Source organism: Homo sapiens, chromosome 7 (genome assembly GCF_000001405.40).
Source record: "Homo sapiens chromosome 7, GRCh38.p14 Primary Assembly".
In the NCBI taxonomy this organism is placed as follows: Eukaryota; Metazoa; Chordata; class Mammalia; order Primates; family Hominidae; genus Homo; species Homo sapiens.
This window is the reverse complement of record NC_000007.14, coordinates 78,128,041-78,144,837: the sequence shown is the minus strand read 5'-3', so window position 1 is coordinate 78,144,837 and position 16,797 is coordinate 78,128,041. Positions and strand designations below refer to the sequence as shown.

The following is a 16,797-nucleotide window of genomic DNA, read 5'->3' as shown; positions in this document are numbered from 1 at the left end:
ACCATGGCACACACGCATACCTATGTAACAAACCTGCACGTTCTGCACGTGTATCTCAGAAATTAAAATAACAAAAAATAAATAAAAACTGAATCAGAAAAACTGACACAGAGTCCACCTTGGAGTGCAACAACAATCCCCACGATGGCACTGTCCAGCAGACTGGAGAGCAAACTACCTACGTCTGGGAGGAAAGTCTTCAGAGGAATAAATTAAATTGATGATTTTAACAGCTTTTGGGGAAGCAATTAATGATGTGAGGAAAAGACACAATCAGAAACCTTGATTAGAAGTGGCGAAAGAAGGAAAGAAACTGTGCAAGAAAATAAATGAAATCATAAACGCTTCAGTGAACAAGATTTACATAGTAAAACCACAAACAATGATAACTGGTTTAACTAAAAATTGTAATAAAACTACTTTGGGATAAGGAGAGCAGGTGGGATGCAGAGGAAGAGTGCTAAATCCTCTATCAGAATAAGAAGTGAATAGATATTGACTAACATTGATAAAATGAGAAACAGCTATGTAGGAATATTATTAGAAATGTGAAGAAACAGCTGAAAGATTTAAAATGTTTGCATTTGGGTCACAGAACTAGAGAGGATGGGAGAGTTAGGGCAAGAGACTAGAATTTTTTATTATAACCATTTTGGTTATGTTTAATTTATTTAAGTTCACACATATATTACTTCAATTAAGTTGCTTTAATGCCTAACACTTCTCATAGAGCTCTTTGAGGAAAGAAATCTATAGATAGGGAAAATGTAAGGAAAACAATTAGCTTGCTATAAGTCTCTTAAATTGTCATCATATTGAGAGCAATTGGTAGTGAGTGGGAGGACTAAAAACATAGACAGCCACTAATTTAAAGACAGAAACAAAAGAGTCTGTGGCCAAAAAAAAAAAAAAACTTATAGGACTATAAGTGAAAGAAAAATGGTCCTAAGATTAAGCAACACTGAATAAGATCATATAGCAGTTTTGGAAATGAGCTGATGAAGCAACATCACAAAAATCCTAAGTTTCATAAAAATAAATTATTCAGATTAAGGAAAGGCCAAAGTAATGAGTACATACTTGACGTATTTTTCTCTATGCATATGGACAGGTTAGTTTGGGAATGACATACGATTTTTTAAATGGGCAATTTAAACTGTACCTGTCTTAATAATCAGTACCAAGTTTTAAATATAAATGCTTCTTCAAAAAATAAAAATGACACCTTAAAAAATAATCAAGTTGCTTTAGTTATATTTCCAATCACTAGAAGATTGTTTACTCTCCTCCTTTTACATTATATGAATTTTGAAATTTTTATACAATTTTTATCATAATAGAACCATCTAGTATTTTCTAGTAATAACTTGATGAGGCTCTGTAATAAATTATAAATAAAAGGAACCCCATATTCAGGAACTAAATTGGTCATCATAAAATTGGGCAACCAGCCCTTTAAAAGGTAGATTTGCATGCCTGGGATGGAAGTATAATACCAAACCTCAACCCTGCAACTGTTTCTTAAAAAGAATAAAGCAACTGGCTTTTCTGCCCTACAGGGAAGAATTCCTTTATCATATTTTAACATCAATAATTCTTTAAAGATTTTTCCATTATTACTGAATCGGCTTGCTGTTTGGTTATTTGCAAGCCATGCTTGCTAAAAGCTACACAATTTTACTAACTAAAATTACTCTAGTTGAACAATAGAATTTCACCTTCCACCCCTTGATTGGAAAGTCCTGAGTTGCTGGTTTTATTGGGCAATGGAAATACATATCTTTTTCTGAGTCTTTGCGAAAAATGCAAAAATTGCCGAAATAGGGTTAATATTTATTTGGCTTAGTGGGACCAGATTTTCCATCCTGACATTCAGACCCAAACAGGTCAAAAAAGATATCCTTGCTAGTTATTGTACAAGTTGGCAAGGTGATTTTCAGGGACATACAGAGAAATGAAAAGTATTGCTACGGAAGAAAAGAGGTGTATCTACAAATGGAAATGTTTTTTCATTCTCTCTGTCCAGCTCCCAGACCCCACACACCTACAGATTTGAGGATCATGACTATTCTGAAGTTTCTTTGCTTCCTGCCACTCTAATGTCTAGACATTTTGTCAGACTGTGAGGAGAAAAACCATATCAAAAGAATACATGAACCCCTTGAAATACCGTGATCTATCTTAACATCTACTTAAAGAGGGTTACAGAAGAATAGTTGCTTTGTCAATGACACAATAATGAGTGACTTATAAGAATAATTTTCACAGTGGAGTAAGAGAATCAAGGTAATTTTTAGACCTCTTCAATAAATATGTGAAGAATCAAAAGTAAGAGTATACTTAACAGAAATTTTTTGGACTGCCTTTTCTAGTGATGTACAGGGGAGTGGAAAATGCACCCACAGAGAAAAGGATTGTTTTGGCTCCTTTCCTACCACCCACCTTGTTGGTGATTTTTCTTGGTAGCTGTAACATATTCTCATTTACACCTTCCACGGCAGACACTAAGAACAGTGGAGTGGCGCAAGGAAGAAATACATTATGGACAGATCTACCTAAGACCAACTACATAATTTGCAGGGTCTAGCGCAAAATCAAAGTGTGAGGTCCTTGTTCAAAAATTATTAAGAATATCAAGCTGGTGACAGGTGACTAAACCAAACACCAGGCCCTTTTGAGCATGGTGGCCTGTGTGACTGCCCAGGTCACATGAAGCTAGCCATGTGACCCCTGGCCCATCAAATGTTTCCAAACAACAAATCCATTTTAACCCAGCCTCATGTTCCAGGATAGAACAGTTGAGTCATAGCTAATTACAATTCCTAATGTCGTGAGATTTCTTTCAGTTACTAATTTACTCTCAGTACTTAGCTATGCAAATTTTTAACAATTGGTATAAAATAAAAGCATAAACGGTAATATATGGCTGCTGAGTGTTTCTCTCCAGCCATTTAGTTAATCGTATCTATAGGATGCTTTCTGCCCTCAGCAACGTGAGTTCAGTTGGGTTCCCAAATTGCCAGTGATGAGCCCTTCTTCCCATTCTCCTGTCTGACCATCTGCTTATTACCAACTGCAGGGTAGCTAAACTGTTCAACCACAAGAGAATGACTCATGGGTGCTGGGAGGGGGGAAAACGCACTTTTTGAATATGCAGTCCTTAAAACACCAGCTGTTTGATTTTGGGTTTTGCATATCAGTTGGCTATGAATTTCAGGGAAGACGTTTTCATCTTTGGAAAGCTAAATTTCACAGCGTTCTAGAGGAAAACAAGTCATGCCGTCTGTTTTTTCTTAATTTTGCCACCAAAAAAAACTTTAAAATACAAAACACATGTTTTTTCCCACATCTCCACCCCATGATGACAAAGAAAACTCTTTTGAAGGACACCTTGTCATATTCCAGGAAGGGACAATATCTATCTGAATGGGTTTGTCACAATAAAACATATGAAGGCAGAATTTTTAGGAAGCAGCGATGGAAAATAAGCAAGATTAATATTATGCTCTGGTTTCTAAAGGCAGAAAAACAGATCAGGAGTTTCCACCATGTATTAAAGAGATGGGAACACTTTGTGACAATCTCGCATCATTCCTCTGTGCTCAGTCTCCATTCACGGGAGCTGGGCTAAAGGCATCACATCAGAGCTCTCAAGGAAGCAATAATTATGAGGGCAGGAGGGACCCCAGCCCACAAAGCACCTCTCCTTGTCTCCCCGCAAACCTCCTTGGATTATATACCCATTTACCCTCATAAGTTTTTTCTAAGAGAGCTGCCACTTACCAAGGGGCACATATTCCCTCCTCCCCAGAATGACCTTCCCGTTCCTCACCATTCTCTCAGTCTACACCTGGACTCAGGATTTCACTCCTCCACTCTACTTTTGCTGCACGTTATATTTGCCATGTATTTGCCATTTGCATTTTGCTTTATGTATTTTTATAAATTTATCCCTGGTCTCCCCAACCAGACAGTGAGTTTCTTAAGGACAAATACCATGTGTTGGCTTTATTATTGCCTTCCCCTCTGGGCCTAGCATAGTGCCTGTTATTAAGAAGATGCTATTCTGAAATGTGTTGATTGATGTAGTAATTGACCCTTCTGCTCCAACCCACAAATTTAAACTAGACAGAAGGTAATTTTCACGTATATTATTGAAAGAAAAGCAACTGGAATTATCCAACTTTTAAAAAGCATTTATTTTCACATCAGGTCACAGATTCTAAACCCAAACTAACTTCCTTTGCCTCTTTAAGCTAATGACATGTTGTTTAACCTTCACAAATTAATGGAAATGCGAGCTAATGAGAGTTTATGCTATCGATTGCCTTTGAAGTATTTATTTTTCTCACACTCATTTCAGGAACTTCCCTCTTGTAAGTTTGGCATGATCGATGCAAAATCCACTTTGCCTTTTTAATACTTTCTCCACATATAACTCCACTTTGTGGGATCTATTAACAAGAAGATAATTAAATGTAAACATGAGTCACAGACTTTTCTTTCTCTGAAATGAAATACACATAAATAGCAAGACAAATAATGAGGAAAGAGGAGAGAAGGGGGGATCTAATAATCCCTTCCCTTAGGATTTCAGGAAGAATCTATCACCAAAGCAAGAAAAGTCCTTCAAGTAAACATCCTGTCTTCTTTATGGGGACTGACCCAAGGTAGAAATAACAGGAGTTCATTGGCTGGATCGGCCCACTTTGACCAGTGACTGAAGGAGCCGGAGTAGACTATACAAGGTCCCAGAAGAGAATCCAACAGCAAAAAAGGGAGGATCCCTGCTTTCAGTAGTGATGTGGCTACAGACCCCAAGAATCCAGCCCTTCCAAATTCACTTAGAGGACATCCAATCCAACTGATTATCTCTGAATATTCCTACCAAAACAGTGTGGAACATTGAGCAGAGCCAAAAGAGTTCATTCATCTATGGGAAAATATAAAACATGTTGCAATATAAGTAGACAATATTGTTTTATCTATAAAGGAATAAAGACATAGAAAAGCTGGGTTTCTTTTTTCCATAATTTATGAGATTTTCAATTAAAAGGAAATTTCTGACTAGTGACACATTATCTCCTTCCTAAATGTCAGTACGTCTAAAGCCAAATGACATACTGCAACTTTTCCCAAATATCTGTGTATCCTAAGCACACTGTGTCAAGACGACTGATCCAAAGACTTGATTTATGTTGCTCCCTGACAGATGATGTCTGCAAGGCATGCTGTCTAAATGGACTGTGCTCCGGCAGTTCCCTTAGTCATCAGTTCTCAGGGAATTAATGAGTACCATTCATCCCAATAATAGAAACCAAGGTCAGGGCCTCTTCCTTGCTCTGTAATTCCGTTAGCATTGCACTGAAAGCACTTAGGTCATAGGCTCTGTAGACCTTATCACTGAGCAAATGGAACTGCATCTTGTTTTCAGAGAGAATCCTCTCTGAGCACATCCCTTGTCAGAGATTTGTTGTACATCAACATTCAGTGCACTTACATATGTAAGGAAAACTCTAGTAAAGGAAAAGTGAGGCTGCCGTTAGCTGCCAAGAGTTTCAAGTACTGCTTTTATTAAAGTAAATGCCAATAGAAAACATTTGTAATAAAACCACGTCAGGTACTTTCAATTACTGAAGATACATTTTTAAACTGTGTGCTCACTTACATTTTATGCAAGTCACTCAGTCATTTTATGTGTCTACCACTGAATTTATTTCAGTTTTCATTCTTTTATTTTGATTTCTAGTCTTTTATCTTAGTTTTTATTCTAACTACCCTAATAAAGTTAAAATGGCTTTGAAACTAAGTTATTACCATGAGCAAATAATTCTGTTTACAGTGAAACTTTCATCTTGAAGTCTCAACCAGCAAGCTTTTCCAAACTAAGTCTCAATAGTCATTCGCTTGCTCTTCGTAATTCAAATTGCTTTCAACCTCCAACATATCAAAAAAGAAAGGAATAACCCCAAGGTTTGAAGCCATAGGCAAGGATTTGAATTGTGCCTTTGACACTTGTTTTCTTAATAGTGAAATTAGCATGATTATTATACTTTTACAGCTACTTCACACTATTGCTATAAGGATTTAAAATGAGCAAGTTCTGCAGTGCCTGGAAATTAACAAGTAATAGTTTATCATTGTCGTTGAGCATACAAATTGTGTGTGTGTGTGTGTGTGTGTGTGTGTGTGTGTGTGTGTGTGTGTGTGTGAATCTATGTTTTGAAACATTTGGGATTTTATGCCCAATAAATTTTAAATGATCTACAGTAATAGAGGAGAGCAGAGGCATAAATAAGTCAAAACAGAAAATCATCCAAATACCATTTGTGTTTTGAAGTACGTTTTTAAATTTCATTTCAAAAGTCAGTATTTCTAAAACCCAAAGAAATTACTTCACACAAAAGAATGACACCATGATGTGACATCCTAACTAAATAGGATCTGAAGAGCTGTCCAATTTCCTCTCCTCTTCTCTTTCTTCTCTCTCCTCCTCCCACTTTGCCTGTCAAAAGACAACTGCAGCAAAGAACCTGCTTCAGACAAAGTTCCTGACTTCCACTCATCCTTGAATCAGGACCACTCATGAAGTGTTTAGTTCCTGGCTCAGAGGCAGGCTATACCCATCAAATAAAAGCACCAGATACTCACAAAGCAAGTAATAGATTAGAGATCAGAGCCAGAAAAGTCAAGAGATGCAGGGTGGTGGCTATAATAACAGCAAAGGCTATGAAATCTGATAGACTAGGGTTCTAAGCCCTGTTTGGCATATGTGACCTTGGACAAATTAATAACTGCTATATGCTTCAGTTTCCTCTACTGTAAACTTGTAATGATATCAAACATTTCATATGATTTGTTAAGGATATTTTTTAAACATATATATACATATATATACACACATATATTATCACTTAGCACAGTGCTTGGCTCAGGTAGGTACTCATAAGAGGTAGGAAGAAAAATGGTTAATAACATTCAATAAATATGAAAGTGTGTGTGTTTATGTGTGTAGGGCTCAATGTGGGTGATTAAGAGATTTAAATCATGCTGATTTCCCTTTGAATAATAAACTCTTACAAGCTGATGTTTTCCTACAGAGACCTGCAACATCGTCTTTTTTGTGAAATCAGAGAACATAGACTCTTGACCTCATCCAGTGTCTGTCTAATCCACCCAACACATCTCTTTCATAACTGAAGCTATTTTCCTGTGTTGATACTTAGGGGATATTACTCTGTATAATCCTGTAGTAAGCAAAGTGTTCCTTCAATTCTAGCAGTATTACAGGTTTACCCCATGTGGAAAGAAACCAAGTTGGTACCTACACACAAGCACACACATACCCCTTAATAGTGATATCAGAAATATTTAAAAGATAATAGTAATAAAAAGAATGACAGTTAATACTTATAGATCAGTTCTCACACATCAGGCACTGTTCTACTCGCTTTACATATGATAACTCATTTAATTCTCAGATGCAGTCTGTGAAGTCAATGCTATTAGTATACCAATTTTACTGTCGAAAAACAGACTCAGAGAAGTTAGGTAATTTTGCAGAGGTCACGGGACAGATAACAATATACACATTATGGCCAGGGAGACCAAATCATTGATGAACCATTCATTCCGAGACACTGTTGAACATGAAAGGGGGCAAAAACAGGAACTAAAGTTCACCCTAATTATAATTGCAACCCTAAATACCTTGCAATGCCTACATCATTTTTTTAAAGTCAGTAAATTAATGAGTTCTTATATTTCTACTTGAAAAAACATTGATTGTCCTAAGATTCTAAGATGATCATTAGCATGCTCTATGTAAGGTGTTCTTAATTGAAGCCATTAGTGCTTATGGTATATAAAAACATGTTTTAGTTTCCAACATGATGAGTTTCACTTCAGGGACACAGGCTCAGCCAATATTTTCATATGCTATCTATAACCTTTCACAATAGAAGAATGAACAAGGTACTGGCTCATTAAATCACTAATTGTCCTTCCTTGCCATGGTTATTAGCTAATGTTCTGCCTTTCGCTGTAAAGCATGTGCAAGATTGAGAGTTCAAGGACTAGACATCCCTGAAACATACTGAATGGTGGGTTGTGTTTTTGCATATTTCTACAGATCAAAGCAGTACCTGATTCCATAGGGAGAGCAACAACACAGAGTTATTGACAGGTTTCTGAGCTGGGGCTCACAGTCTTGAAGGGAGAATGGAAAGGGAATAGGCTTCTAGTTTGGTAAACTCCTTGAGGGGGTTTACACAGGGTATACTATTGATGTCCACCCCATAAATAGTTATCTTGGTAGGTACTTAAACATTTACACTGAAGTCAACCTTCTAGGAAAAATCTGTATTCCCATGTGTGTGGCTCTCCTCACACATATAAATAAACAGTAAAAAGAAAATAGGCCGAGCATGGTGGCTCAAGCCTGTAACCCCAGCACTTTGGGAGGCCGAGGCAGGCGGATCATGAGGTCAGGAGATCGAGACCATCCTGGCTAACACGGTGAAACCCCGACTCTACTAAAAATACAAAAAAATTAGCCAGGCGTGGTCGCGGGCGCCTGTAGTCCCAGCTACTCGGGAAGCTGAGGCAGGAGAATGGCGTGAACCCAGGAGGCAGGCAGAGCTTGCAGTGAGCCAGGATCGCGCCACTGCACTCCAGCCTGGGCGACAGAGTGAGACTCCATCTCAAAAAAAAAAAAAAGAAGAAAGAAAGAAAAGAAGTGTACATTGTTTTTAAAAGACGTATAACATTTTACCAATCCTAAACATTTTTATATTTTAATATTTTGACAGTTGGAGAGCATCTTATAATCAATGGAGCATCATTATTTAGTTAGCAGTGTTTCTTTTTATTTTTTTTCCCGTGGCATATAAAATAAAGGTGTGTCTTACCATCCATGGCATTGTAGATTTGAATAAATGCATTATGTATCAGACATTAGCAAGATATCAGCACCATGTAAAAGTAAATCAAAAAGAAGAGGTAAGATGTGACAACACACCAACCTTTATAGCTTAGTACATGAGTGGGAAGGTGGTTATAACTTCTTTACCAAGTGGCTACTACCCATTTAACACATATTTCTTTCCTTCCTTGTTTTCTCCTCTCAATAAAATAATAAAAGGATAGAAATTGAATTTCTGGCATTTATTGTAGCTTTCTTAAATTATTGATTATTGTCCCTAGAATATGAGCTCATGGGGCACAAAGTTCTATGTGGTCCTCAAACACTCATATATATTGGAATCTCCCTAGGAGCTTCTTAGAAATTCATGGTCCTCGCCTCCTGCCTGGACATTCTAACTCAGACAGTCCCCAGTAAGGCCCAAATAGCTGTCTTTTTAACTCTAGGTTAATTATGATCACCCCAAAGTTTGAGAACCCCTGGTCTGTGTTTGGAATTGGCCTATCACTGCAAAGGACTTGAATTTAGAAACTTTGGTCTCAGTAGTATGCACAGGACCCCATTTGATAGAAATTAGTGTGATTTCAAAAGGCAAATACACTGACGAAGGAAGGAATTCTGACATTTCATTGTTTCCTTTGGGGCTGGGACTGAAAGAACATGTATTGGTGATGTCCCTGATACCTATTTCTGTTGGGGTTTTTTTAGCTGTGCCCCATAAAATCGGACGCATCATTGATGGGAGTCCTGCAGATCGCTGTGCAAAACTAAAAGTGGGAGACCGGATCCTAGCAGTGAATGGCCAGTCTATCATCAACATGCCTCACGCTGACATCGTGAAGCTCATCAAGGATGCAGGTCTTAGTGTCACCCTTCGCATCATTCCTCAGGAGGGTGAGTGCCTGAGGCAGCCTTGCAGAGAGGCGGCCAACACATGGACACACTCACCGGGTGTTCTCAGCCTGCCCGCCAGGGTCGCGGAGTGCACCTGCCTGCCGTCACTGTGGTGTCAGAGTGTCAGAGGTTGATTATTATTTCCACTTTTGCAAAAACTCACACTCAGTTGCAATCCATATCTTGTTTACTCAGTACCTGTTTCATTCAGAGGTCAAGCTATGTGACATTGCAGGCTAAATAGTGTGAATTCCAAGACGCCAGGTTATTCAATCATTCCCTGTGGGCCCCCACTTTTATGGTTATATTAAGTCAGAATTCATTCAACAGAGGTGACAGAGTTACAAATCTGAAAAAAAAAATTTATGTTAACAGTAAATCTCTAGAGGATTCCTCAAAGTCAGATTGATTTTGAAAACGTGAAGTTTTGTGGTATAAGGAGAGCTCATTTAGAAAATGTTGCATCTGATAAGAATTTAAAATTCCCACTGAGCCTTTTGAATTTGTCTGTACAAGGACTCCCCCCTGAGGCTCAAAAGAGTAGTGAACATCACAATTCATAACCATGCCCTAAGGGGTCATGGAGCTGTGAACATCACTGCACCAAAAATTCACCATTTCCAGAGACAGTGGGTTCATGACTAGTTTCTGGCTGCTGACTCATCAACGATATTGAAGAATTCCATTTCTGGAGCTCACTGATGAGTGTCCCACACAGAGGCTGATGGGCTCACTCAACTTGGTACCCTCTGTTTTATTCAGCCCCCAATTCCATTTTAGGATTATCTGACATGTAGGCAGCAAATGGCTAAACAGCCACTTGACTTTAAATATAAAACAGTAGTTCTCAACGGGGGTGGTTTTGTCCCCCCAAGGGACATTTGGTAAAGTCTGGAGGCATTTTTGACTGTCTTGATTGAGGTGGGCATGCTGCTGGCATCTAGGGGGTGGAGGCCAGGGATGCTGCCAACTATCCTAAAATGCACAGGACAGCCGTCCACAGGAAAGAATTACCCCACCCAAAATGCCAACAGTGCTGAGTCTGGGAAACCCTGATATAAATGGAGAAGGAATTAAAAGATTTGGACTGTGGGGAAAAAAGGGGGGGGAAGAAGAGTTCATAGGGGAATGCTAATAGATCACCTCCCTTTTCTTACCCAATCAAAAAAAGAGAGAGAGAAAAGAAAATGGCCATGCTGCTTTATAACCTACTATCTCCAGACACCAACATGTATAAGCTATTCAATGGAAATTAACTGCAAACAAGATTGCTCGCTGAAAATCTAAACGCTTCTCAGTTTTCTGAGTCTGGAATGTGTCTGTTGGGCCCTTATTCCAATATATAGAGTCAATTTCAGTTGAAAATTTGATGTTATTAGCAAAGAATTCCAGAAGCAATTATTTAATAGAATAGTTTTGTGACTCTTCCTGTGTCCAGGGTTCTTTCTTCTTTCTGGAAAAGTGTGGAGTCCAGTGGGCTATGAGGCAATAAGACTGACAAGGGATGAGGAAAAGATTGTAAAAAACATTTTTCTTTTTATGGTTCATTCCTTATCCACACTTTGGAAGACTCTTCAGGCTGTTTATTACAAGCAAAAACTGGTGGCGGATCCATTTTCTCTCAGCAAGCGATGCTGCAAAAATAGAGTATGTTTTAGAGCTTAGTCCTTTGAATAATTTTTTTCATAGTTTTATGAGGTTTTTTGGTAATCTTTTCTTCTGGCAGAATGACAAGATACTGTTCATAGCCTTGTTCTGCAGTGATCATTAATGAAAGAATACAAATATCAGAAATGGTATTAGAACTTGATAAGATTAACCTGCTATCTAAAAACCTAGCAGAAACGGAAATAACCAAAGCCTGAGCCATCAGCAGAGGCAAAGTCACTGCCTCTAGTCACTTCTTTCCCCTTATCAACACTAACCTGACTGCATCTGCCGCTTTGGTTCTCCATCGCAGAGCTCAACAGCCCCACCTCGGCACCCAGCTCAGAGAAGCAGAGTCCCATGGCGCAGCAGAGTCCCCTGGCACAGCAGAGTCCCCTGGCCCAGCCAAGCCCAGCCACCCCCAACAGCCCCATCGCCCAGCCAGCACCACCTCAACCACTTCAGCTGCAAGGACACGAAAATAGGTAAAATTTCCTCTGACTTTTGTGATTCTGAGAGGTGATAGGGTGGGGAAAGGAGGGAGTATTTGGGGACAGCACAGGACAGGCAGAGAGAGAGACTTTTATAAAGTAGAAATCGCCGTGCATACCTTTGTGTGATTTCGAGGTTGTGTGTGTTATAGATATGGTTTTATTAGTAAAGATAGCTGAGTGTCTGTCCTTCACAAAGAGAGATGCTTTCCTGCAGAAATGGTGAGCAGTTGCAGATGAGTAGGGCTTAACAGCTGAAGAGCATGTTAAAGAGAGTCCAGAGTGAAGAACTTACTCAGAGGCCCCCTGGCAGGCGCAAGCCTGCAGTATGCACGATGGAAATGCGGCCAATATATGGGGTGGCAGAAGGAGAAGAGTATGATGTGAGATGAAGCCAGTGAGGGTGGCTGGGGCCCACCCTAAAGGGCCTTGTAAGCATGCTTACTTAATGTTTTGATCTTTAAGTGCAGCGGGAAGTCATTGAAGGGTCTTCAGCTGAGGACTGCTATCATTGGATTTGCTTTATAAGAAGGCCTCTCGGTCTGCCCTGCAGAGCGCAGACAGGAGGCTGGCAGGGTGAATGCAGGTTAAGCAGTTAGGAGGTGGCTGCAGACGTCCATTGAACCACAAAAGTCATGGCTCAGAGAATGATGATGATGTGGAGGTAGGGAGAATGTTGAAGGATTTGTAGGCATTAGTAAATATTAGCAGCCAGTGTGGTGGCTCACGCCTATAATCCCAGCACTTTGGGAAACCGAGGTGTGAGGATTGCTTGAGCCCAGGAGTTCAAGACCAGCCTGAGCAACGTGGTGAAACCCCACCTCTACAAAAAACACAAAAGTTAGCCGGTTGTGGTGGTACACGCCTGTAGTCCCAGCTACTTGGGAGGGTGAGGCAGGATAATCACTTGAGCCCAGGAGGCGGAGGTTGCAGTGAGCTGAGAACGTTCCCATTACACTCCAGCCTGGATGACAGAGTGAGACTCTGTCTCAAAAATAAAATAAATTAGCATTTTTACTGATTATAACAACCTTACATCCTCCTACCCACAATCTAATGAGGTTCTTCTATTCCACACATAGCATTAGAGATAGGCATCATAGACTAATGAATAAGACACTTTGAACTTCCAGAAAAAGACTGTCATAAGAACAACATTGTCTTCTTATTGTGACTTGTATATAACAGGGAGCCTGGGTTGGGTTCAGCCATTAAAGAGAAAGATGAAGACATGTTCCCATGATGCTTTCTCGCTTTCCGTGGGAAACAAACAAACAAAAACAGAACAACTCACAGAAACACCTCTGCATATAAACCCCTCACTGGCCTTTTTAATGATTCTAATGTTTTCTGAACATCTGCTTCCCATCCCTCTCCTCCCATGATGGCGAAGATGAAGTGAGACTCTGTTTTTGATTCCCAGAACTCTCTGGGTTCATCATTCACATTGTTGCAAAGTAAACTGTGTTCCCTGTGCCACAGGTGGTATTTCTACAAAGCCTTATTCTACTGATTTCCCATTTGCTTTCATAGAAAAGTAAATGTCTGATTGTCCTCAGCTGCTTATGTTTTTAAATATACGCAAGGAAGAGAAAAGCCCCATAAAGCAAATGATGCAGAGGTGAGAATTTGACAATCCCTAAGAAGGGTAGGTCCTGAGTGTCTCAGTAATGAGCCCCAGATGGGTTTGCTCTCAACATCTATCACTTCAACAGATTGCACTGGCTTTCCCCAGAATTCATCTTAGACTCAAGAGGAAGGACTTGAGCACCCCAGCAGTCCCCGAGCCAGCTTCAGACTCTTCTTGCCACTGTCGATTAATCTCGCAGCCACATTCCATTCTCCTTTCCAGAGTCAGATTTCCCTGGACATGGCTCTTGCTCCCAGCCTTGAGTGGGTGAGCTCATCCCTGGTGTGCTATAGCTCTGAGGGGAGAACAACAGCTGGATACAGCCACTGTCATGTCCCATCTGCTGCCAGCTCACAACTGGGATACCTTGTTCCCTATCACAGAAGCAGTGGTCTTTGGACATCCTGACTGCAGAATGAAATATTCCTAACTCTGGGATTCAGATTGACCTAATCCAAATGTTTATAAGTCACCAACATATTTGCCCAGAGTTCTAAGGTATTTTGCTTCTTCTACTACTACATTGCCTCTAAGATATTTTGCTTCCATTACTATATTAACAGCCCAGGAAGTGCCCACTCCAACTCTAGGGCCCTTTACTGCCACTCGGGTTTCCTGGCTGAACTCTGTGATTGTTGGTGGTGGCACATTTGCATATGAATGAAGAGATTCAGTAATCTTACAGGTACCAGAAACATTTTTCCCAATTGCATTTAAAGATGGCCATGGTATCAGAGGGAAAACTCTTTGCCATTTTTTTAGATCAGGCTGGAGATGTCTCTAAGACAGTTTATATGCCAGTGCACGGTATGAATTTCCTATTTCTTCATTTGTGTAAGAAGTGCCCACCTACATGTCAGATTCAGCCCGTTCCCATGTTAGAGCGGGATAAAATAAAATGACAATCTGCTTGCAAATGTCTGTGTTGTGAGTTAGAATGAGTGATATTTTTTCCTGCTGTATTTACTCTTGGATTGGCTTCCCATGACACCCATACACTTCTCCCCATTTCTCAGTCCTTTAACATCTTTTGGGTGTGTGCTCAGGAAGCATAAAGTATGTTTAATGTGAAGATAAGCAAAAACACTATTCAAGGAGAAGCATTTGTTGAAAACAACAGAAGAGCTGTTATGGAATATATTTCAAAACTAAGTATAAATAGCAGAGTTCACCTTCTCTAGCAAGGGCAATTGATATTTGCAGTTTAAAATGGCAAGGTCAGTGAAAGAGCATTGGAAATTGACTTCTTTCACAGACTTTGAACTCTAGATGCTCAGGACTGGAAGTGATTCTTTTTTTTTTTTTTTTTTTTTTTTTGAGGCGGAGTTTCCCTCTTGTTGCCCAGGCTGGAGTGCAACGGTGCAATCTCGGCTCACCGCAACCTCTGCTTCCCAGGTTCAAGCGATTCTCCTGCCTCAGCCTCCTTAGTAGCTGGGATTACAGGCATGTGCCACCACGCCCGGCTAATTTTGTATTTTTAGTAGAGACGGGGTTTCTCCATGTTAGTCTCGAACTCCCGACCTCAGGTGATCCACCCGCCTCAGCCTCCCAAAGTGCTGGGATTACAGGCGTGAGCCACGGCATCTGGCCGGAAGTGATTCTTGAAGGGCCCACGAGATGTGCATTCTCACCATTGGCAGCATTTCTTTGTTCTGGAACTTTTTCATACCACAAAAAACCTGCTAGAACTTACCATTAGCAGTCTGGTTTTATCATTTCTAAAATCTCTTTAGCAATTGAATTAATAGCTATGAAGGGTTTTGATGATCTTCTTTCAGAAGTAAAAGAACTTTAGAGAGCCAGCTTTTTAAAATAATCCTGAGTTTTCCTTAAAGTGTTTCACACATTCAAAGCAACATAATTTTTTGCCCTAGCTGGTATATTATTCACTTAAAAGTTAGCAACACTCATAAAAAATTTAGTATGTTTCCCTTATTAAAGAATTCTTCAATGTGTAGTTCAACTTAAAATCCTGACACACGACACTGGGTAGAATATAGTTTAAGTGCCTGATGGCCTGGATGAGAGTTTTGAAAGTTTCATCTGCTCCTATTTTTACTCGTTTGTATTACTTTGGGGGAAATTCTTACATTTCACCCTCTTTGGCCATACCTCATGTCACATTTGGTTGGAAATTGAGCACACAATGGATATTGCATATCAATACCATACAGATCATGGAAATAAAGTGACTATGCTATAACTTAAAACAGTGTGACATCCAAACCACCAAACAAGCTATTTCCAGAAAGGAACCAACACACACTGACAAATGTCACCCAGTTTAATTCCTTTTGTTTAATGCATGCATTTGCATAGTTAAGCATCTTATTCAAAGTATATTTTAAATAATTCTATTCTCAGCATGCATGCTCTCAGTAGGCGAGTGGACAATTGAGGTATAAAGCAAGGCCGAAATTATGCACCTCATAAAAGGAATGCCTCTCCTCTGCAGGGTTAAGTAATAAATGGGACCTACTCAAAGGGTTGATTAAAATAACTACATTACTAACCCCCTTCTAAGGAGCCCCAAGTAAATACATCTATTGCCATGCACTTTCAGTGTGACCTTGCCAAATATTAGATTGCACTAATGGCAATTGTTCAGGCAAGTGATTTTTAAAAATACTTAATACTAATCAGCATCAGTAAGACCGTAAGCCAGTTTAAAAAAAAAAAAAAATCCAGACTCTTTTAAAGGTAAGAATTCTACTGGTTTGCACTAGTTTTCCTGACACATTTGAGCTTTTTCTTGCTGCTAAATATTTTCTCAATTCCTCATACCCTCCAATTAATTTTAGATAAAATTGTTACTATGTAGAATGTATTTTTTCAATCTACCTACATCCCTGGGTAGCCCATTATAGACTGTTACCATGGCAATAGGCAATGAACAACAGAATTAAATGGCCTCCATACCATGGTGACAATTTTTCAGTTCACCTTATTAATGATCCCATAATGGTAGGGATTGGCTATTTCTTTTGAAACTAGTAACCCCCTCAGCTTAAAGCAGTTTGGATTCACAAAACAATGCTACACTCCTAGCTCTCATCTCTGTGTTTATTTCATTAGTAACTAATATCTAGAAGCAAGCAAGAGATAAATGTTGGACATAAACATTTTTGCCTTCTCTTCCATCTTATGACCACAGTAGTATTTGATGCTAATCTTGATAGCTATGATCTAGTATTACCTCTGTGTAATATGTT

The 16,797-nt window shown here is 39.4% G+C and overlaps 1 protein-coding gene across 15 annotated transcripts in view, besides 2 other annotated features; it reads left to right on the top strand.

The window, feature by feature from the left end:
• MAGI2 (membrane associated guanylate kinase, WW and PDZ domain containing 2) overlaps window positions 1–16,797 on the top strand; it is a 1,436,613-nt gene that overhangs the window by 1,308,830 nt on the left and 110,986 nt on the right. For all 15 annotated transcript variants that reach the window (XM_047421093.1, XM_017012845.3, NM_001301128.2 and 12 more), the window contains 2 exons: window positions 9,632–9,817; window positions 11,778–11,949. In XM_047421093.1, coding sequence (XP_047277049.1) covers window positions 9,632–9,817; window positions 11,778–11,949 — 358 coding nt within the window. The remainder of the gene's footprint in view (window positions 1–9,631; window positions 9,818–11,777; window positions 11,950–16,797) is intronic.
• Window positions 9,367–9,866: an enhancer, noted in NCBI's record as "H3K4me1 hESC enhancer chr7:77764289-77764788 (GRCh37/hg19 assembly coordinates)". NCBI's record gives its function as "activates a minimal SCP1, AML or CMV promoter by ChIP-STARR-seq in naive H9 embryonic stem cells {active_cell/tissue: H9 hESC(naive)}" and the evidence as "EXISTENCE:reporter gene assay evidence [ECO:0000049][PMID:30033119]".
• Window positions 9,867–10,368: an enhancer, noted in NCBI's record as "H3K4me1 hESC enhancer chr7:77763787-77764288 (GRCh37/hg19 assembly coordinates)". NCBI's record gives its function as "activates a minimal SCP1, AML or CMV promoter by ChIP-STARR-seq in naive H9 embryonic stem cells {active_cell/tissue: H9 hESC(naive)}" and the evidence as "EXISTENCE:reporter gene assay evidence [ECO:0000049][PMID:30033119]".